Genomic DNA, 22,843 nt, shown 5'->3' with positions numbered 1-22,843 from the left:
TTTCTTTTGCTGTGCAGAAGCTCTTTAGTTTAATTAGATCCCATTTGTCAATTTTGGCTTTTGTTGCCATTGCTTTTGGTGTTTTAGACATGAAGTCCTTGCCCATGCCTATGTCCTGAATGGTAATGCCTAGGTTTTCTTCTAGGGTTTTTATGGTTTTGGGTCTAACGTTTAAGTCTTTAATCCATCTTGAATTGATTTTTGTACAAGGTGTAAGGAAGGGATCCAGTTTCAGCTTTCTACATATGGCTAGCCAGTTTTCCCAGCACCATTTATTAAATAGGGAATCCTTTCCCCATTGCTTGTTTTTCTCAGGTTTGTCAAAGATCAGATACTTGTAGATATGCGGCGTTATTTCTGAGGGCTCTGTTCTGTTCCATTGATCTATATCTCTGTTTTGGTACCAGTACCATGCTGTTTTGGTTACTGTAGCCTTGTAGTATAGTTTGAAGTCAGGTAGCGTGATGCCTCCAGCTTTGTTCTTTTGGCTTAGGATTGACTTGGTGATGCGGGCTCTTTTTTGGTTCCATATGAACTTTAAAGTAGTTTTTTCCAATTCTGTGAAGAAAGTCATTGGTAGCTTGACGGGGATGGCATTGAATCTGTAAATTACCTTGGGCAGTATGACCATTTTCACGATATTGATTCTTCCTACCCATAAGCATGGAATGTTCTTCCATTTGTTTGTATCCTCTTTTATTTCCTTGAGCAGTGGTTTGTAGTTCTCCTTGAAGAGGTCCTTCACATCCCTTGTAAGTTGGATTCCTAGGTATTTTATTCTCTTTGAAGCAATTGTGAATGGGAGTTCACTCATGCTTTGGCTCTCTGTTTGTCTGTTGGTGTATAGGAATGCTTGTGATTTTTGCACATTGATTTTGTATCCTGAGACTTTGCTGAAGTTGCTTATCAGCTTAAGGAGATTTTGGGCTGAGATAATGGGGTTTTCTAGATATACAATCATGTCATCTGCAAACAGGGACAATTTGACTTCCTCTTTTCCTAATTGAATACCCTTTATTTCCTTCTCCTGCCTGATTGCCCTGGCTAGAACTTCCAACACTATGTTGAATAGGAGTGGTGAGAGAGGGCATCCTTGTCTTATGCCAGTTTTCAAAGGGAATGCTTCCAGTTGTTGCCCATTCAGTATGATATTGGCTGTGGGTTTGTCATAGATAGCTCTTATTATTTTGAAATATGTCCCATCAATACCTAATTTATTGAGAGTTTTTAGCATGAAGGGTTGTTGAATTTTGTCAAAGGCCTTTTCTGCATCTATTGAGATAACCATGCGGTTTTTGTCTTTGGCTCTGTTTATATGCTGGATTACATTTATTGATTTGCGTATATTGAACCAGCCTTGCATCCCAGGGATGAAGCCCACTTGATCATGGCGGATAAGCTTTTTGATGTGCTGCTGGATTTGGTTTGCCAGTATTTTATTGAGGATTTTTGCATCGATGTTCATCAAGGATATTGGTCTAAAATTCTCTTTTTTGGTTGTGTCTCTGCCCGGCTTTGGTATCAGAATGATGCTGGCCTCATAAAATGAGTCAGGGAGGATTCCCTCTTTTTCTATTGATTGGAATAGTTTCAGAAGAAATGGTACCAGTTCCTCCTTGTGCCTCTGGTAGAATTCGGCTGTGAATCCATCTGGTCCTGGACTCTTTTTGGTTGGTAAGCTATTGATTATTGCCACAATTTCAGCTCCTGTTATTGGTCTATTCAGAGATTCAACTTCTTCCTGGTTTAGTCTTGGGAGAGTGTATGTGTCAAGGAATTTATCCATTTCTTCTAGATTTTCTAGTTTATTTGCGTAGAGGTGTTTGTAGTATTCTCTGATGGTAGTTTGTATTTTTGTGGGATTGGTGGTGATATCCCCTTTATCATTTTTTATTGCGTCTATTTGATTCTTCTCTCTTTCTTTCTTTATTAGTCTTGCTAGCGGTCTATCAATTTTGTTGATCCTTTCAAAAAACCAGCTCCTAGATTCATTAATTTTTTGAAGGGTTTTTTGTGTCTCTATTTCCTTCAGTCCTGCTCTGATTTTAGTTATTTCTTGCCTTCTGCTAGCTTTTGAATGTGTTTGCTCTTGCTTCTCTAGTTCTTTTAATTGTGATATTAGGGTGTCAATTTTGGATCTTTCCTGCTTTCTCTTGTGGGCATGTAGTGCTATAAATTTCCCTCTACACACTGCTTTGAATGTGTCCCAGAGATTCTGGTATGTTGTGTCTTTGTTCTCGTTGGTTTCAAAGAACATCTTTATTTCTGCCTTCATTTCGTTATGTACCCAGTAGTCATTCAGGAGCAGGTTGTTCAGTTTCCATGTAGTTGAGCAGTTTTGAGTGAGATTCTTAATCCTGAGTTCTAGTTTGATTGCACTGTGGTCTGAGAGATAGTTTGTTATAATTTCTGTTCTTTTACATTTGCTGAGGAGAGCTTTACTTCCAAGTATGTGGTCAATTTTGGAATAGGTGTGGTGTGGTGCTGAAAAAAAATGTATATTCTGTTGATTTGGGGTGGAGAGTTCTGTAGATGTCTATTAGGTCTGCTTGGTGCAGAGCTGAGTTCAATTCCTGGGTATCCTTGTTGACTTTCTGTCTCATTGATCTGTCTAATGTTGACAGTGGGGTGTTAAAGTCTCCCACTATTAATGTGTGGGAGTCTAAGTCTCTTTGTAGGTCACTCAGGACTTGCTTTATGAATCTGGGTGCTCCTGTATTGGGTGCATATATATTTAGGATAGTTAGCTCTTCGTGTTGAATTGATCCCTTTACCATTATGTAATGGCCTTCTTTGTCTCTTTTGATCTTTGTTGGTTTAAAGTCTGTTTTATCAGAGACTAGGATTGCAACCTCTGCCTTTTTTTGTTTTCCATTGGCTTGGTAGATCTTCCTCCATCCTTTTATTTTGAGCCTATGTGTGTCTCTGCACATGAGATGGGTTTCCTGAATACAGCACACTGATGGGTCTTGACTCTTTATCCAATTTGCCAGTCTGTGTCTTTTAATTGGAGCATTTAGTCCATTTACATTTAAAGTTAATAGTGTTATGTGTGAATTTGATCCTGTCATTATGATGTTAGCTGTTATTTTGCTCGTTAGTTGATGCAGTTTCTTCCTAGTCTCGATGGTCTTTACATTTTGGCATGATTTTGCAGCAGCTGGTACTGGTTGTTCCTTTCCATGTTTAGCGCTTCCTTCAGGAGCTCTTTTAGGGCAGGCCTGGTGGTGACAAAATCTCTCAGCATTTGCTTGTCTGTAAAGTATTTTATTTCTCCTTCACTTATGAAGCTTATTTTGGCTGGATATGAAATTCTGGGTTGAAAATTCTTTTCTTTAAGAATGTTGAATATTGGCCCCCACTCTCTTCTGGCTTGTAGGGTTTCTGCTGAGAGATCCGCTGTTAGTCTGATGAGCTTCCCTTTGAGGGTAACCCGACCTTTCTCTCTGGCTGCCCTTAACATTTTTTCCTTCATTTCAACTTTGGTGAATCTGACAATTATGTGTCTTGGAGTTGCTCTTCTCGAGGAGTATCTTTGTGGCGTTCTCTGTATTTCCTGAATCTGAACGTTGGCCTGCCTTGCTAGATTGGGGAAATTCTCCTGGATAATATCCTGCAGAGTGTTTTCCAACTTGGTTCCATTCTCCCCATCACTTTCAGGTACACCAATCAGACGTAGATTTGGTCTTTTCACATAGTCCCATATTTCTTGGAGGCTTTGCTCGTTTCTTTTTATTCTTTTTTCTCTAAACTTCCCTTCTCGCTTCATTTCATTCATTTCATCTTCCATTGCTGATACCCTTTCTTCCAGTTGATTGCATTGGCTCCTGAGGCTTCTGCATTCTTCACATAGTTCTTGAGCCTTGGCTTTCAGCTCCATCAGCTCCTTTAAGGACTTCTCTGCATTGGTTATTCTAGTTATCCATTCATCTAATTTTTTTTCACAGTTTTTAACTTCTTTGCCATTGGTTTGAGTTTCCTCCTGTAGCTCGGAGTAGTTTGATCATCTGAAGCCTTCTTCTCTCAACTCGTCAAAGTCATTCTCCGTCCAGGTTTGTTCAGTTGCTGGTGAGGAACTGTGTTCCTTTGGAGGAGGAGAGGCACTCTGCTTTTTAGAGTTTCCAGTTTTTCTGCTCTGTTTTTTCCCCATCTTTGTGGTTTTACCTACTTTTGGTCTTTGATGATGGTGATGTACAGATGGGTTTTTGGTGTGGATGTCCTTTCTGTTTGTTAGCTTTCCTTCTAACAGACAGGACCCTCAGCTGCAGGTCTGTTGGAGTACCCTGCAGTGTGAGGTGTCAGTGTGCCCCTGCTGGAGGGTGCATCCCAGTTAGGCTGCTCGGGGGTCAGAGGTCAGGGACCCACTTGAGGAGGCAGTCTGCCCCTTCTCAGATCTCCAGCTGCGTACTGGGAGAACCACTGCTCTCTTCAAAGCTGTCAGACAGGGACATTTAAGTCTGCAGAGGTTACTGCTGTCTTTTTGTTTGTCTGTGCCCTGCCCCCAGAGGTGGAGCCTACAGAGGCAGGCAGGCCTCCTTGAGCTGTGGTGGGCTCCACCCAGTTCGAGCTTCCCGGCTGCTTTGTTTACCTAAGCAAGCCTGGGCAATGGCGGGCGCCCCTCCCCCAGCCTCGCTGCTGCCTTGCAGTTTGATCTCAGACTGCTGTGCTAGCAATCATCGAGACTCCGTGGGGTAGGACCCTCCGAGCCAGGTGGGGGATATAATCTCGTGGTGCGCCGTTTTTTAAGCCCGTCGGAAAAGCGCAGTATTCTGGTGGGAGTGACCCGATTTTCCCGATTTTCCAGGTGCCGTCCGTCAGCCCTTTCTTTGATTAGGAAAGGGAACTCCCTGACCCCTTGCGCTTCCCGAGTGAGGCAATGCCTCGCCCTGCTTCGGCTCGCGCACGGTGCGCGCACCCACTGACCTGCGCCCACTGTCTGGCACTCCCTAGTGAGATGAACCCGGTACCTCAGATGGAAATGCAGAAATCACCCGTCTTCTGCGTCGCTCAGGCTGGGAGCTGTAGACCGGAGCTGTTCCTATTCGGCCATCTTGGCTCCTCCTCTCGTGTATGTATATATTTATATGTGTGTATGTGGGCGTGTATATATATATATAGTTCCCTCGAATAAAGTCTGCTTTATTCTTTTTTTTTTTTGAGACAAGGTCTCTCTCTGTCACCCAGGCTGGAGTCCAGTGGTGTGATCATGGGTTACTGCAACCTCTGTCTGCCTCCTGGGCTCAAGTGATCCTTCCTACTCAGCCTCCCATATAGCTGGGACCACAGGTGCCTGCCACCATGCCTGGCTAATTTTTTGCATTTTTGGTAGAGATGGGGCTTTACTGTGTTGCCTAGGCTGATCTTGAACTCCTGAGCTCAAGTAATCCACCCACCTCAGCCTCCCAAAGTGCTGGGATTACAGGCATGAGCCACTGTGTCTGGTTTATTTTTCTTTAACAAAGGTCACAGATAGTTTTTTTTAACTAAATATATACATATTATATATATATATATACACACACACATATGTATATATAAATAACAAGTTGTATTTATTATATATTGATAATATATTATATAAATGTATATTCATATGTATAATATATATTAACCACTATTCTGCACCATGGCCTAACTGGATGCAACTTCCTCAACTAAATGTGAGGTTTATATGTATACACATATATATATGTGTGTATATATTTTATATATATATATTATGTATAATGTTTAAAGAAAAATCTATCTGCAACCTTTGTTAAAGAACAGTAATGCAGACTTTATTTAAGGGGACTATAGAGACAGGTATGGGAATTACCAAAGTGGGGTTTTACAGTAGGGGTGAGAAACTGGGCTCAACTCTGAATACAACAAGGAAAAGTGGGAATTTATAGCCAAGGAACAGAGTCGGAATTCCAACCCAGGCTCTGCAGCACATGCCCTTAACCTCCGTGCTGCACCACGGCCTAACTGGATGCAACTTCCTCAACTAAGTGTGAGGTTTATAATGCCTGCCTTTCTCTATTCACAGGATTTCCTGTCCTTAGTTATTTGCTTTTATTCTGTCTCATTCCAAATTGGATTTGCAGAGGCTCTGAGAAACCAACAAGATAATTCCCATAAAAGTATTTTGAAGACTATTAAGGGAACGAAAGGAAATCTGCATTTACTGTGCACCTGTATGTGTCAAACACAGTGCCAGGCACCTTCACAGTGGTCAAATTTAGCACACACAATAAATAAGAATCCTCCATCAACTGAGATTCTTGGAGGGCAGGACTATACTTTGCTCTCCAAGTATCCTGGATGCTTTTCATTGGGCCTGGAGGAGTGTAGGTGCCCATTAAATGCCTATGAATGAATGGGGTTACTGCCCAGTGATGTAACATGAAGCCAGACAGTTGTTGCTAGGAGCTTCTTGGGTGGGGCAAAGGATTTCATGTGGGATCCAATATCTTCCAGGAGATGAAAGAATGATCCCAGCTCATGTTGCTGTGGAGAGGGAAGGAGGAGTTTTCTCCAGAGAGCGGCTCACTGGGGAAAACATTTGCAGGTGCTCTTGTTAAAATTATCCAGTTCTTTTGTGCAACACAATCCCCAGGCTGGAAAACACTGCCTCATATGTCATATGGACTTTATAAAACTTGCTCTTTCTGTAGGAAAGTCTCTCCACTTAATAGACACTGAATTCCTTTAATCCCCAGCCCTGGGAAGTGTCCCCCTGGAGAGAGGTAACATGCATAGGTTTCTGCCCTGTGGCTTGTTCCATATCAATCCTTCCTCAGATAAACTCAAAGCAACAAAAATAGCCCCTGGCCTAACATGCAAGGGGCTTTGTGTTAGGTGCATGTGTATCAAGGAGTGGTTTGCATGCAGGCAGTGTGCAGGTGGCTATTTTAGTGTTAGTGAAAGATAGCCTGGCAAACATTCAGGTCTGTGTCACCTGAGGCTCTGGGAGGACTGGGACTTTCTGAAGTTCCCAGGAGTTCTCTAAACTTTGGTCTGTTGATCTAAGAGAAATATTCTTCCTGGGTGGCAAAGAGGCATTGGCTTCTATTTCTGTATCAGGAAGAAAGAGCATGAGGCTTTGGAGTTAACCCCACTAGGTTTGGGTCTTGGCTGTGTCATTTTCTATCCATTTGAGACAAGGCAAGTTACCTCCCTCTCCAGGTCTCAGATTCCATACACATACACACTCATTCTCTCTCTCTCTCTCCTTCTCTCAATGATAATATATACATCAAAGGGCTGTTTTGAGCATTACCATGAGACAAGATATGTATAGGACCAGCTTGTAGTAGGTACTCGGTACATATTGGGTCTCATTCCTTCCAGAGCCACCAGTAGGGATTGTCCCAGTGCAGGCAGTGGGGAGACACTCCTCCCCTGCTGCTGTTTGAATCCAGATGAAATCTAGTTTAAATGGACACCAGGGCATTCTGAGAGGGGAGAGTGTGGTTGAAGGTACAGAAGTTGGGGAGGGTTGCCTGTGGAATGGGTTCTGGGAATTGTAGTAGATGCTGTCAATGTCCCTGCAATATTCCCTTGGCCCATCCTGTTGGTCATGTGTAACTTGATGGAAAGTTTCCATATCATGCCAATGACTTCCTACCTCAAGCACATGATTCTCTCTGTTTAAAGGTTTTATCTGGCCTCATATGCATGTTCTGCCTGAAAGTGCTGGGAAATTAATGTCTCCAGGAACAACTCTTAACCAATGGAGACAGGAGTTGATGGATAAAAATCCCAGCTTTTTGCTCCATTGTGGGGGACAATTCTGAGCTGTGCTCTGCAGAGTTTCTCAGAGGGTCTCCAGTGGGATTGAGCCACAGTGGACCATAGCAGCATGCAGTTATTTACACACCCAGTTGCAGAGTTTAACATACTTCTCTGCCCCCTCACTTGCTTCCTGGGAAAAGTACTTGTACTTTGACCTCGAAAAGTACTTGTACACAAATCTTTCTCAGGATCTGCTTTTGCGGGAACCCCAACCAAGAAAGAAACCTGTAGCCCAGTAGCCTTTAGGAATGTAGGCCCTGCTTATCCAACCTGGGCCAGCTTCATGAGAAAGACAGCTTCTTTCTTTCTCACAAACTTCTGCTTCACTTCACAGCTGCTATCGGTTTTGTGGGAGGGGAGGGCCTCATGGATTATGGAAAATAACACACTCTCCTTAATTCTCTCCTTTTCCTTGTTCCAGAAACAAGCCAAAAGCATCCCTTACCTTGAAAGAAAGAAACACAAGAAGAGGCCTTGTGCTTTACCAGTCTTGACTGCAATTGTCAGGGTCCACTTATTATTTATGATAATACTTTGTGGGGTTCTTTTTATAAAATATTTTTGCAACTGAAGGATCTCTCCTCTTGGAGTGAGGACTCTCTGCAATGTCTTTTTTCTTTTTCTTTTTTTTTTTAGACGGAGTCTTGTTCTGTTGCGCAGACTGGAGTGCAGTAGTGCAATCTCAGCTCACTGCAACCTCCGCCTCCCGGGTTCAAGTGATTCTTGTGCCTCAGCCTCCTGAGTAGTTGGCATTACAGGCCTCCACCACCACACCCAGCTAATTTTTGTATTTTTGATAGAGACGGGGCTTTGCCATGTTGTCCAGTCTGGTCTCGAACTCCTGACCTCAAGTGATCCACTCGCCTTGGCCTCCCAAAGTGATGGGATTACAGGTGTGAGCCACTGCGCCCGGCCTGACTCTCTTCAATTTCTTTTTTTTCTTTTCTTTTCTTTTTTCTTTTTTTTTTTGAGACAGAGTCTTGTGCTGCTGCCCAGGCTGGTGTGCAGTGGCACAATCTTGGCTCACTGCAACCTCTGCCTCCTGGGTTCAAGCGATTCTCCTGCCTCAGCCTCCCGAGTAGCTGGGACTACAGGCATGCACCACCATACCCGGCTAATTTTTTATTTCCAGTAGAAATGGGGTTTCACCATGTTGGCCAGGCTGGTCTCGAGCTCCTGACCTCAAGTGATCCACCCACCCTGGCCTCCCAAAGTGATGGGATTACAGGTGTGAGCCACTGTGCCTGGCCTGATTGTCTGCAATTTCTTTCTTTCTTTTTCTTTTTTTTCTTTTCTTGGGATGGAGTCTCGCTCTGTTGCCCAGGCTGGAGTGCAGTGATGCAATCTTGGCTCACTGCAACCTCCGCCTCCCAGGTTCAAGGGATTCTCCTGCCTCAGCCTCCCGAGTAGCTGAGACTACAGGCATGTGCCACCACACCCAGCTAATTTTTGTATTTTTAGCAGAGACAGGGTTTCACCATGTTGGCCAGGCTGATCTCGAACTCCTGGCCTCAAGTGATCCACCCACCTCAGCCTCCCAAAGTGTTGGGATTACAGGCATGAGCCACTGCACCCAGGCTGCCATTTCTTATGCAACTGAGTGTAACTATTATAGTGGATTGTCCTTTAGGGTCCTTTTTCTAGGAACTGCTTTTTCCTTTGTCCATGGAATGAGAACAGAAGTTGGCATGTTAGCACAGAGTGACTCTCAATCCCTGGATCCAGTTAATTTGTTCAGGGATTGGCATCTACATCAAGCTCAGCCAATAAGGCTCTTTCCAAAGATTTTTGGACTTGGAACCAGAGAGACCTTGAATTCAGTCTCTCAAGCTGTGAGACATAAATCTCAGGAGCTGTCAGCAGCCAAGTTTCTTGCTATGTCACAAAAATCAGTCTGAGTGGGAAAGAGTATTGTTGATATGCAAAGAGGAGCAAACATGAGTGACAAGGGAGAGCCCTGAGCACTCACGGTTCTATTTCTACTATGGCCCAGCTGCATCTTTGGATATTCCGTTGAGTTGGCTAAGAAGAGTTGACCCTTTCTTAGATGCTAAGAACCAATCAGTTCCATGTTTTCTTTAAGCTGATTTGAATTGTGTTTCTGTCACTAGCAACCCAAAAGTCCTCAGTGATACAAAGATAAATTTTAAACTCTTAGGGATATATTGTGGAGGCTCCAGCACTGGTTCTTCCTAAGACATTGTTGGGAAACCATGGTGGACTTTATGGTATCTCTTTAACATCCAGCATACTCTTCCACCATTGGAGAATAGCTATGCTGTGTGGGCAGTTTTCTGTAGCTCCAGGGAAGGGCCTGGATTGTTGAAGGCAATGATAATTATCCTATCTCCTTTGCAGTGATTGTCAGAAATGGCCATGTGACTCAATTTGAGGAAGTCTGCCAAGGAATTCTGGGAAAAGTTTATTCACTCTTAAGAGAGACCCACAGGAGGATATGTTCTTTTCTTATTCAGGGCTATGTTGTATATGTTGAGAGGCTGGAAACTACTGTAGCTATCTCTTTACCAGTCTGAGGATAAAACAAAGACATGGAGAAGGTCAAAGAAATGGAGTTAGAACCATTCTGTCTGGTCTTCCAGTTTAGTGGGTCAATGCATTTTCTTATAATTTAGCTAATTTGGATTGGGTGTTTTTGTTCTGTTTCGTTTTGCTGCTGAAAGCATGCTGACCAACACAAAACTCTCAGCCAATGGATCACAGGAATAATCTCTGTTCATATCAAGTCTTTCATATCCAGAATCTGTTTCCTCTGTTCCATTTGTCCTATGTCATTCTCATTCTACTGGGATTAACCCCAGTCGATGTTTGCCTGGGGTGGTTGTGGGGGGAGGGGCGGGTGTTAGGCCATTTTTGTGTTCCTATAAAGAAATGCAGGAGACTGGGTAATTTTTAAAGAAAAGAGGTTTTATTTTGGTTCATGGTTCTGCAGGCTGTACATGAAGCATAGTGCCAGCATCTGCTTCTGGTGAGGGCCTCAGGAAGCTTACAGTCACGGTAGAAGGCAAAAAGGGAGCCAGCACATCACATGGTGAGAGAAGAGAGCAAGGTGGGAGGTGCCACACTCTTTTAAACAGCCACATCTTGTGTGAACCACCAGAGCAAGAACTCACTCACCACAAAGGGGTTGGCACTAAGCCATTAATAAGGGATCCATCTCCATGATCCAAACACTTCCAACATGAGATTTAGAGGGGACAAACATCTAAGCTATATCACCTTGTTTCAGGGTCTCTGACATTACTTTTGCAATTTGTAAAAAGTCCATGTTTACTCCAGCTTCCATCAGTTGATTTCTGCGGAGGCTGGTTTCTTCCAATATGTGTTGCAAAATGTTGAGGTCATTCTGTTTTTGCTTTTCTGGGAGTGCTTTTATCTGTTTGCCTAAGAAGGAGTCCCTCAAATGTGCTGCTTTGTCTGATGCCTGTTTCCCACCTTAATAAACTTTCTCTGCCTTGTTGCTGTAGTCTCTGTGGCAAGAAGAGACCCTTTCTGATAGGAGTCTTGGTAGGGAACAGAACTTGCCCGCCCCCAACCCAGTCCCATTGCACAACACCGTGATGCTTCCTGTGTAACATGGTCTACCCCCTCTCTAGCAGCACTAGCACGAGGGCATGCCCTGTGAACCTGAGGCTCTTAGTGCCTGGGCCACACAAGCACACAGGTCAGGCTTTTCCTGCCAATCATAAGGGAAGGAGTGACCAAAATAACATGTGGGGAAGTTACAATGGTTTGGGAAACCTCAAAAAATTCTAATGGCAGTGATTTTACAGTCTATGCTAAATATTAATGAATTACTTTCTTTTAATGTTGTAGTCCTTTTCTTTGCTCACATGGAAAGAGAAAGAGGTGAAACAGCATGTAGCATCCAAAAATAAGAAGATCTTTTCCAGAGCTGTGCTCCCTGCCCGCAGCCAGGCCCCAACCCACCTCTGCAACCCCTCCTCCTCTCTTCCAATGGCAGTGGCAGTGGCAGCTCTTTCCTTGCTCCTGACATCACCACCTTGAGCATCCCCTGGCTCCACCAAGCTCCAGCTATGTCCAATATGGTGCTGCTTGGCAGCAGCTCACTGGGACTTGCCCAGAAAGTGGTGAAAAGGTGGGGGTTGGAGTTGGGCAAGGTGGTCACTAAGAAGTTCAGCAATCAGGAGGTTAGCATAGTGAGTGGTGAAAGAATGAGAGACCAAGCTGCCTATGTCATTGTGAAAATTAATGACACCTTGACATCTCTTGCTATGACCAATGTGTGCAAAGCCACATGGTCCTCTGGCATGAAGGCAGTACTCTCATGTTCTCCATATGCCCAACAAGATCAAAAGGACAAGAGTCATCCTGCAGTTTCTGCAAAACTTGTAGCCAATGTGTTTTCAGTAGCTGGGTTGGAGCATGTCAGTACTATGGATCTGCACACTGCTCAAATACAGGGATTCTTCAGTACTGCTGTGAATGACTTACATGTGGAGCCTGCAGTTCTGTGATGGACCTGAGAGAATATTGCAGACTGGAGGAACTGCAGCATTGTTTCACCCAAAGCAGGAGGAGCCAAAGAGACTCCACCATTCATGGACAGACCTAACATGGCTTGCCTTGCAGGAGAAGTGTTGGGGTGGATAGGATGTTTCTGGTTGGTGATATTAAAGACTGGGTGGCTGTCCTTGTGGATGACATACCCAATGCATGTGGCACAACACATGACTCTGCAGACAAGCTACTGTCTGCTGGAACCACTAAAGTTTATACCACTTCAGCTCTGAGGCTGTTATTTTACAAACACCAGTCCCCAACAAGACAACATGATTTTGCTCTTACTTGTTTAGCCATGTTCCTCTATAGCTCCATGTATTGGTCTGTTTTCATGCTGCTAATAAAGACATACCCGACACTGGGTAATTTACAAAAGATAGAGATTTATTGAACTTATAGTTCCATGTGGCTGGGGAGGCCTAACAATCATGGCGGAACATGAAAGCCATGTCTCACATGGTGGCAGACAAGAGAAGAGAGCTTGTGCAGGGAAACTCTCCTTTTAAAATGATCAGATCTCGTGAGACTCATTCACTATCCTGAGAACAGTACAGGAGAGACTTGCCCCCATAATTCAATCACCTCCCACTGGGTTCCTCCCATGACATGTGGGAATTGTGGAAGTTACAATTCAAGATGAGATTTGGGTGGGGACACAGCCAAACCATATCACTCCAGAATATCACGATTTCAAACATCATATTTGGAATTTAAACAAAAATGTTGACTTTAGATCTCAATAAAATATAGAATGACAAATGTTAAAACATCAGATCTCTGTTTTAAACCTTGGAACTCTATGGTTTCAGGAGACAACAGGTAGGGATAAAGTAATATTTGTTTAGTTTTTAATTGAACTTGTCTTGAATGAGAAATATATATGTGACTTTAACTTGTGATAGGTAACTTTAACCTTTGTTCTTATGGTACTTTGAGGTCACAATCATATTACAGAATTGTATAGAATTTCCTTCTGTAATAGAAACCCCTTGTAAAAATTCATAGCCTACATACATATGTTGCCAAAGATACCACCCTATTACAGCACCTTGAGTAGGAGTTTATATGTAATAGTAATATTATGAACACTGGGGTTAAGTCCTATATGGACTTAGAACATTTCTTTTGAGTGAATGTTTAAAAATCATATAATATAAGAATACTGACTTTTTTGAACAAAGCTTTATTTAGCTAAAAATGACCACTGATCCATTTCTTTTCTTTTCTTTTCTTTTGAGACAGGGTCTGGCTCTGTCACCCAGGCTGGAGTGCAGTGGTGCGATCTCGGCTCACTGCGACCTCTGTCTCCTAGGTTCAAGCAATTCTCCTGCCTCAGCCTCCCAAGTAGCAGGGATTACAGGCATGTGCAATGATGCCTGGCTAATTTTTGTATTTTTAGTAGAGATGGGGTTTCGCCATGTTCGCCAGGCTGGTCTTGAATTACTGACCTCAAGTGATCCGCCTGGCTTGGCCTCCCAAAGTGCTGTGATTACAAGTGTAAGCCATGGTGCCCAGCCATCCTATCTATATTTTTCAAATAAAATCTGTAGTTAAAAAAATCATTTGCTTGAGAGACTTGTTACTTCAGAATACTAAAGGCAAAAATATATTTAATATGAATGAATAAACAAACACATGCAGAAAGAAACAAAGAAAGGGATAGTGTTTTGTTTTTTGTTTTTTGTTTTGTTTGTTTGTTTGTTTTTGAGTCAGGATCTAGCTCTGTCACCCAGGTTGAAGTGAAGGGGCACACATGATTTTGGCTCACTGCAACCTCTGCCTCCTGGGTTCAAGCCATCCTCCTGCCTCAGCCTCCTGAATAGCTGGGACTATAGGCACATGCCACCACGCCTGGCTAATTTTTGTATTTTTTTGTAGAGATGAGGTTTCACTATGTTGACCAGGCTGGTCCCGACCTCCTGACCTCAAGTGATCTACCTGCCTCGGCCTTTCAGAGTGCTGGGATGACAGGCGTGAACCACCGTGTTTGACCTTGAATTTCTTAGAAAAATGGAAATACAGTTTTTGACCTGCTTAGATACCTTGACATATAAATACAGACTAAACACAGAATTAAACGTAGTTCATTTAGAAATAAATATTCTGCTTTGAGATATTTAGAATCTAAGAATATACTGAACCAGTTTTAAAATAATGATCCTCATACAGAACACATGACTTAAAAATCTGCATTGTCTTTCCTTGTCCTGATATGTATTATTTTATCATTACTTAACAGGACTTTTGTATTTTAAAGTATTTTATACACAATGTGTATAGGCTGGATTTGGCCATACTCAGGGGCCAAATTTTAAAGAGATTTGGGGGTTGCAATCCAGCCCAGTTAATAAAGATCCTCTGTAAGCAGCTGATCCCAGTGTTTGCCCATCTTTTGCTACTCATTGTCTGGAAGCTGTGATACCAACCACATTTTCTGATCATGTCTAATTCTGCTGAATGCAGAGAGGCTCAGGCTCTATCTAGTAAAATAAGGGAGTCAGAGAAATATGAACATGTGAAAGTCATTGAGCCCAGACTAAAATTACAACAATCAACTTACAAGTATTTATATTATACCATATTATATGTCAACAATATTCAGGAATAGTATATTTGGTGTGTGTATAGAATACAGTGTTCCTCCAAAACTGTGCTAAAATATTTTAAATAAAATCATACAGCAAACTAAAAACAGTAAAAAGAAGATCCCTTTCTTCTTAAGAATATCTTATTCCTTCTCACTGGGGATTTCTTGGAAGTTGTTCTAGTCAAGTGTTTTCCTTGAGCTGAAAGAGGGAAGAGGCATACCAAAAACATTGGGATCAATGTAGAAACTTGTACATGAATGTTTATAGCAGCATTATTCAGCATAGCCAAGAGATGGAAACAATCCATATGTCTGTCAACAGATGAAATCAACAACTTGTCGTACATCCATACAATGGAATATTATTCAGCCATAAAAAGGAATGAGTAAAGTACTGATTTCTCCTATAACACAGATGAACCTTGAAATCATTATACTGTGAAAGAAGCCAGACACAAAAGGTCATATACTGTGAATCCTGTTATAGGGAATATCCAGAACAGACAAAGTTGTAGAGATAGAACACAGGTTAGAGGTTACCAGGGGATGGGACTAAGGAAGAAGGTGGAGTGACTACTTAATGGGCACAGGATGTTTTTATGGGGTGATAAAAAGTTTTGGAATTCGCGAAAGCCATTGGTTGTATAGCATTGTAAGTATGCTAAATACCACTGAATTGTAAATTTTAAAATGGTTGTGTGCTATGTGAATTTCATCTTAAGTTTTTTAAAAGTTGAAAAGGCTTTAAAAAAATGTGAGCCCTTATCACCCCCACCCTGCACATTCTGATTTGCCTCCTAGGGAGCATACTGACATGTAAGTTCACTTTATAAGGGATGTGAGGTGACTACCTGGCTTAGAGTGACTCATCATCACTTATTATGTACTTTGGAAGCTTGAGAGCAGTGCATTTTGGGCAATTTGCTGATTGCTTTAGGCAATCCTAACGTTGAGCCCCGTGGGTAGCAAGAAATAGCAGGTGATTAGAACAGAAGCAATTACTCTCAGAAAAGCATCATTAATTTCAAAAGCTCTCGTCCTGAGATATGTGGCTAAGTGGGGACAAATTAGGATGCTGTCTAGAGGAAAGAAAGTGAAGTAGTTTCCCCCTCTTTAGGACAGAAAGGTAACCTAATGTCATCTGTTCCAAGTAGTTAACCCTCCTCTGGGGGTGGGAATGGCGGACTTGGGATTGGCCCGTTGTAGGAAGGTCGGCCGTGGGAGGCCTAGGGTCTGTACCAATTCCAGTTTAAGCTGCTGAATTCAGTTTTTTCTTGCTTTACCTCCTCCACAATGAAAAGTGCTGTTTCATGTTTCCCGTTTGTCTGCATCACAGTGCCTTTCTGGGGTTTAATTAATATTATAGAAAAGGCAAGAAACATTCTAAGGAGACTGGGCTTCTAGGGTCTCTTTTGGAATCCACTGTGTCCAGCCACAAGTCTCGTCCTTTTTCTGCATTCTGCTCTTCAGTAAAGCAAATCAAAGCAAAGGAAGGTCACCTTCTTCTTAACAAGGTGCTCAAAGCTTTTGGGCAGTGTGCTCTTTTACCCTCCACTTCTGGAACTCCACCCAGGCAGGACATAAGACAAAAACATAGAAAACAAAATCCAAACCTCAATCACTAATGAATGCAGTGAGAGTTTGTCAAGATTATCTACATGATTACTCAGGTAGCAGTTGCTATCTCTCTGAGGCTTAAAATTACACATATTGGGCACATAGTATGTGCTAAGCTTTGGACTATGTTCTTTCACAAAGATTATGTCATTGAACGATATTTTGAGGCATTACTGTCTCCTCTTTACAGAAGAGGAAACTAAGGTCCAAATAGACTGCATGACAAGCCTTACATCTCATAGCCAGGATTTAAATGCAAATTTTAACTCCAAATCTAGTGCTTTTTCTATATCATAATATGTATATAGGTGACTTTTCTTTGGGGCATGACTCAGTGGTTGTACCTATGCTTTCTCTTCTGATCCTTCTCTTTCTAGCTCCAATAATAGAATCCCCACTCCTTCCAAAGAAATAGCTCTACATTTTATTTGATAGCCTGGAGTAATATGACTTCTGCCTCCATCTTCCCATTGAAACACTCTGCAGAATTGGGTTTCCAAAATAAATGTGCATAGTTTATGTTCTTACTGGACCTCTCCATGGTGGTTGCTCTGTGGACAACCACTTGCTCCTCCTATGTTGCCTTGTCCTGCTCTCTTCTGGTCCTCCTCTCTCTCTGAGTTTTCCTCCTCAGTCTCCTTTGAGGGTTCCTCTTTCACTCAGAATGATCAATAGCAAAAATGTCCATGAACTATGAAGAGAAGCCCCCATCACCACTCACAGTTACACAGTGGTTGCACATCAGTGCATTTCCCAAAGTCTGGATGATTCAAAGTAAATAGCACCGCCCAAAGAACGAGTCCTGGTCTAAGCTGGGACCTAGTCTTCTTCTTCACTTTTGAATCCTCACTGCTTGGTCCATCATTGGTATAGAAGGAAGTATTTGCTGAGTAAATTGAAAGAATAATGAGTAGGAGGTCTTCTAATAAAGAGTCCACTTCGGCCGGGCGCGGTGGCTCACGCCTGTAATCCCAGCACTTTGGGAGGCCGAGGCAGGCGCATCACAAGGTCAGGAGATCGAGACCATCCTGGCTAACACGGTGAAACCCTGTCTCTACTAAAAATACAAAAAATTAGCCAGGCGTGGTGGCGGGCACCTGTACTCCCAGCTACTTGGGAGGCTGAGGCAGGAAAACAGCGTGAACCCGGGAGGCGGAGCTTGCAGTGAGCCCATATCATGCCACTGCACTCCAGCCTGGGCAACAGTGCGAGACTCCCTCTCAAAAAAAAAAAAAAAAAAAAGAGTTCACTTCATGAAGAGGGTGCAAGAAGTGGCCAGAAATGTTTGAGGCCTTCCTAGGCAACTGTGAAGAGTGCAGTGGGACTACCATATAGGGTAGAAGGCCGGAGGAACTGTTGAAGGTGAGGTTGGGAAGTGTGAAAGACTCGGAAAGTGCCAAAAAGAAAAAAAAAAAGAGAGAGAGAAAAAAAGATTACCGAGATGACCGGGTGCCTTATGGAATGCTGAGCATTGTCTAGTGCACTTTTCCATAATATCTTGTTCTACAGTGGTCTGCAACTTTCAATGTTTGAACTCTTTTACCACTTTGTAAGTTGTAGAAAACTGATAGTAATGCAAATTAATCTTTTTTATGGAAATGAAATGAATTTTGTCAGGTAGGTGACATTGATTCCCTGCCTGCTTCACCCCCAAACCCTACCATGGAAGCATTCAGGTTTGCATCTATTAACAAATTCATTTTAGTATTCTTCATTGCCTATATATGTGTCTGTCTGTGGACACACCTTTGAACTGGGCTTTAACATGTTACTAGTTCCTCATTTTAATGAGCAACATATAATCTTTGACCCATGTTCATTTTATGTTTGCATGAGAGCCATGATTTTACCTTTTTGTAGAGAATTATCCTTTAAAAGAAAGTAGATGACAATTAGGCTCTGAAGGGCCTTAAAAGCCACTTTAGAGGGTTTAGCTTTTATACAGTGTCAGAGGATTTTAAAGCTGAAACAAAATGGAATTAGATTTGTGTTTTTGGACAAACACTTTTGGAGTACGTGTGGTTGGGGTAGAGAGACCAGCTATTGGGCCATTGCTGGAGTCCACTTTGGAGAAAATGAAAGAAGGAATAGGACACAATTTGAACCTTAGAATGTAGAGTGATGCCTGGTGCTTCGAAAACGCTTACTGAAGGAATAAAGAAGTGAATGAACTTACTAACTTTAGGAAAGGCAAATAAGAGAGGCATTTCTGAGGGCAAATTTAAATTAGGTATACCCACTACCTTCCAGACTCAATAATTTAAACCTTATGATCAGATTCTTCGGGTTTATATTTTCACTTGTCCTTATTAATACTTTTTTTTTTTCTAGTAGCATCAAGTAACAGATCTTCTTCTTCTTTTTTTTTTTTTTTTTTTTTTTTTTTGAGACAGAGTCTCACTCTGTAGCCCAGGCTGGAGTGCCGTGGCGCCATCTTGGCTTACTGGAAGCTCGCCTCCCGGGTTCACGCCATTCTCCTGCCTCAGCCTCCTGAGTAGCTGGGACTACAGGCACCCGCCACCATGCCTGGCTAATTTTTTGTATTTTTAGTAGAGACGGGGTTTCACCATGTTAGCCAGGATAGTCTCGATCTCCTGACCTCGTGATCCACCCACCTCGGCCTCCCAAAGTGCTAGGTTTACAGGCGTGAGCCACTGCGCCCGGCCGTAACAGATCTTCTTAACTACACATACTCTAAAATCCTCTTTAACTCAATTTTTTACTTACTTTCACAATTTTATACTTGTTTCTATTGATTCAGAGAGTCTTTAGGTCACAGGATCTCACAGCTGTCCTCCCTGCAGAGAATTATGCTCCCTAGAGAGGTAAGTGAAAAAAATGCGCACTTTGAGGTTTTAGACAGCGACAATGGGCCCAATGGGCCACTCACTGTGTAGTCTCCTCCTCTTACATCATCAGCATGTGGCTTTTTGTGTCAATGGGACATTAGCAGGCATGATACAAGCAGGGGCTGGGTCATGTACACTGGGGCTTGTCCCCTAGAGCAATCTCTTTTGGAACCCAGCTACCATGCTGTACTGAAGTCTAGGCCATCCTGTTGCAGAGTAAAACCACATGGGGGAAGATCTGGAGTTGGAGACACTCATGGAAGACCATGTGAAGGAGATGGGGATCCCTTGCTAAGCTCCCTGCTGAATATAAGCTGTGGGAATGACCTCAGCCAACACCACATGGAGCAGAACTTCCCAGTCAACCCATAGACTTAGGAGAAGTGATAAATCATTGTAGTTTTAAACCACTACGTTTCTGTGTGTGTGTGTGTGTGTGTGTTTCATGTAACAATAGGAAACTAAAACACAGGATGAGAGTAGCTTGCCTAGAGGGTGACCAGGAAGAGTACATCTGAGGGAAATTTACTGTTTGAAAAAAATCTCAATCAATGCTTCCTGTGGTTTTGTTCAGCCATAGTTCCTATCAGCAGTAAGGTAGTGTCTTAGTCTATTTTTATTGCTATAAGACTGGGTAATTTATAAATAAAGAGGTTTATTCAGCTCATGGTTCTGCAGGTTGTACAAGGGAACTGGCAACAGCATATGCGTCTGGTGAGGGCTTCAGGAAGTTTCCAATCATGGGGGAAGGGGGATGGGAGGGGGCATCACATACACAGAGGGGAGGCACCATGTTCCCCTTCTTCCCCTTCCCGTTCCCCTTCTCCCCCTTCCCGTTCCCCTTCTCCTTCTTCCTCTTCTTCCTCTTCCTCTTCCTCTTCCTCTTCCTCTTCTTCTTCTTCTTCTTCTTCTTCTTCTTCTTCTTCTTCTTCTTCTTGCTTCTGCTTCTGCTTCTGCTTCTTGTTCTTGACAGTCTAGCTCTTTTGCTCAGGCTCGAGTGCAGTAGCGTGATCTCAGTTCACTGCAACCTCCACTTCCCTGGTTCAAGTGTTTCTTGTGTCTCAGCCTCCTGAGTAGCTGGGTTTACAGGTGTGCACCACCACCCCCAGCTAATTTTTTTTATATTTTTAGTCAAGATGAGTTTTTGCTATGTTGGCCAGGATGGTCTCAAACTCCTGGCCTCAAGTGATCTGTCTACCTTGGCTTCCCAAAGTTCTGGGATTGCAGGCGTGAGTCACCACACCTTGCTCACCATGCTCTTCTAAACAACCAGCTATTACGTAAACTAATAGAGCGAGAACTCACTCATTACCATGGGGATGGCACCAAGCCATTCATGAGAGATCAACCTCCATGACCCAAACACCTCCCAGTTGGCCCCATCTCCAAAACTGGGACCAAATTTCAATATAAGATTTGAAGAGGACAAATATCCAAACCATCTTAGGTAGCAAGTGCACCGTCTTTCAGCAGGCTAAGCTCAGCTCTCAGCAGGCTAAGGCTAATGGGTCTTTGAGTGCTTCATTTACTTTATTCTCTGCCTGTTCTGCCTGGGTCTTACTGAAGGGAAAGATACCATGGCAAACTCTCAGGCACAGCAGATTCTAGAGGACATCAATAATTGGCTGTCTATGTCAGACAGGTGCCTGAAAAGTTGGCGTCACCATAGCAAGCTTTTGAGGGGTGTGGGGATTGGATCCATTTGGCTAATTAATAATGATATTTAATACACACATATGCCTGCATAGAAAAGTTTGAACATGAAATTAGAGCTAATTAAAATAGAACATGACAACCTGAAGTGACTTTGTCTTGTTCTTGCTTTGGGTATATTTTTTATATCACAGGAAAAGGACTTTTAATTGTAAAAGTTAGCTACCCTTGGGTGACCTAAAAAATGAATACCTGTCTAAAGATACAACAATCAATGCTCCCTTTCTTTTTTTTCTTTTCTTTTTCTTTTTCTTTTTTTGAGATGGAGTCTTGTTCTGTCACCCAGGCTACAGTGTGCATTGACACAATCTCGGCTCACTGCAACTTCCGCCTCCCAGGTTCAGGCGATTCTCTCACCTCAGCCTCCTGAGTAGCTGGAATTACAGGTGCCTGCCACCATGCCTGGCTAATTTGTATTTTTAGTAGAGATCGGTTTTCACCATGTTGGCCAGGCTGGTCTTGAACTCCTGACCTCAGGTGATCTGCCCGCCTTGGTCTCCCAAACTGCTGGGATTACAGGCATGAACCACCATGCCCAGCCTCCCTTTTCAATATTTCTTACTGAATTACCACTTTAATCTTCACCTTTTATTCCTTTGCTCTCCTTCTTATCCTAATTACCAATATATATAATATTGAATGAAAATTTTAGTTGCTTTGCTTGATGAAGAATATTTGGTTACAGATCTATGAACTGCTGTTGGGTTTTTGTTTGGTTGAGTGGATAAAGTAAGCTGAAAGTGATGGCAGATAACTCGGGGCAATTTTTGCTGAGGATATGTGAAGGAAGGGCAGAGGAGTGGTGGTGAGCTATCAGAGAGATAGCTCTGGAAGGGTTGTTCAAGGCAGAATTATTGGAGTGAAGGGCTCAGCAGAGGCTCTTCACTCTGTTTCTGTTTCTGTGAGATCTGTAAAATATCCATGACTAGTAAATTTATTGTGGAATTTGTCTGTCTTGAGATATATTAAAGAAATCCTGAGTCCTTGGGTGTGGGATATAGCAGAGACTGCCTCTGGAGATCCACATCATTGGGATTCCATGGGGGAATGTTTGTGGCAGGAATTTCAGCATAATGAGCAGAAACTGGCCCTCCCACAGAGTCTTTCCCCTCTCATTAAGAAGAGTGCTCCTCCTTTCTTCTGTGAGCAGGCCAAATGGATTTGATTATCAAGGGCCAAGTTCATGGGAAGGGGGGAAGGGTAACGAATAGGTTGGGGCACTGTTGCTTTGCCTAACCTTGTTAAAAGAAGCCCGATTTTGTTTGGGAGGCAACTCCCAGCCCCAGGTAAGAAATCAGGATTAAGGTAATTACAGTATCCTATTTCTCTTTGCCAGTGATTTGTTTAGGGAACTGGGCATATGACCTGGTTCTGGCCCGTGAGATACAAGGGGGGATGTTTGCTGAGTGACTTCCAATTTTCTTCCGTAATAAGAGAGGTTTGTATTACCAGAAGGTCCTTTCCCACCAGTCCTCTTCTTTCCTACTTGGATTACTATGGTGTGAGGAAGTCATGGCTGGAGCTTTGGCAGCCATTTTGTGACCCTGAGATGAAGGCCAATACAATTGCAGGGAGGTTACACAACCTTGGAGCTACCTATCTCTAGACATTTTGTCAGGTGAGATGAATAAATACATTTGTGGTTAAGCCACTGTTAGTCAGGTTTTCTGTTATGTGCAGCTGATATAGAACCCAAGTGCTCCCTCTCCTTTGGTCATAGGCTAGATGAAGTTAGACGCTTTAGTCCTCACCTCGT

At 42.8% G+C, this 22,843-nt stretch overlaps 1 pseudogene across 1 annotated transcript, besides 2 other annotated features; it reads left to right on the top strand.

Moving 5' to 3' along the window:
* Positions 4,788-5,380: an enhancer, noted in NCBI's record as "H3K27ac-H3K4me1 hESC enhancer chr7:32503825-32504417 (GRCh37/hg19 assembly coordinates)". NCBI's record gives its function as "activates a minimal SCP1, AML or CMV promoter by ChIP-STARR-seq in naive H9 embryonic stem cells {active_cell/tissue: H9 hESC(naive)}" and the evidence as "EXISTENCE:reporter gene assay evidence [ECO:0000049][PMID:30033119]".
* On the top strand, positions 11,099-12,696 carry LOC100130673 (phosphoribosyl pyrophosphate synthetase 2 pseudogene; annotated as a pseudogene). The gene has a single exon (NR_038454.1). The product of NR_038454.1 is annotated as a phosphoribosyl pyrophosphate synthetase 2 pseudogene (transcript).
* Positions 21,949-22,460: an enhancer, noted in NCBI's record as "NANOG hESC enhancer chr7:32486745-32487256 (GRCh37/hg19 assembly coordinates)". NCBI's record gives its function as "activates a minimal SCP1, AML or CMV promoter by ChIP-STARR-seq in naive H9 embryonic stem cells {active_cell/tissue: H9 hESC(naive)}" and the evidence as "EXISTENCE:reporter gene assay evidence [ECO:0000049][PMID:30033119]".

The sequence above is a fragment of the Homo sapiens genome, chromosome 7 (assembly GCF_000001405.40).
Source record: "Homo sapiens chromosome 7, GRCh38.p14 Primary Assembly".
Lineage (NCBI taxonomy): Eukaryota > Metazoa > Chordata > Mammalia > Primates > Hominidae > Homo > Homo sapiens.
This window is presented reverse-complemented; position numbering and strand designations above follow the sequence as displayed.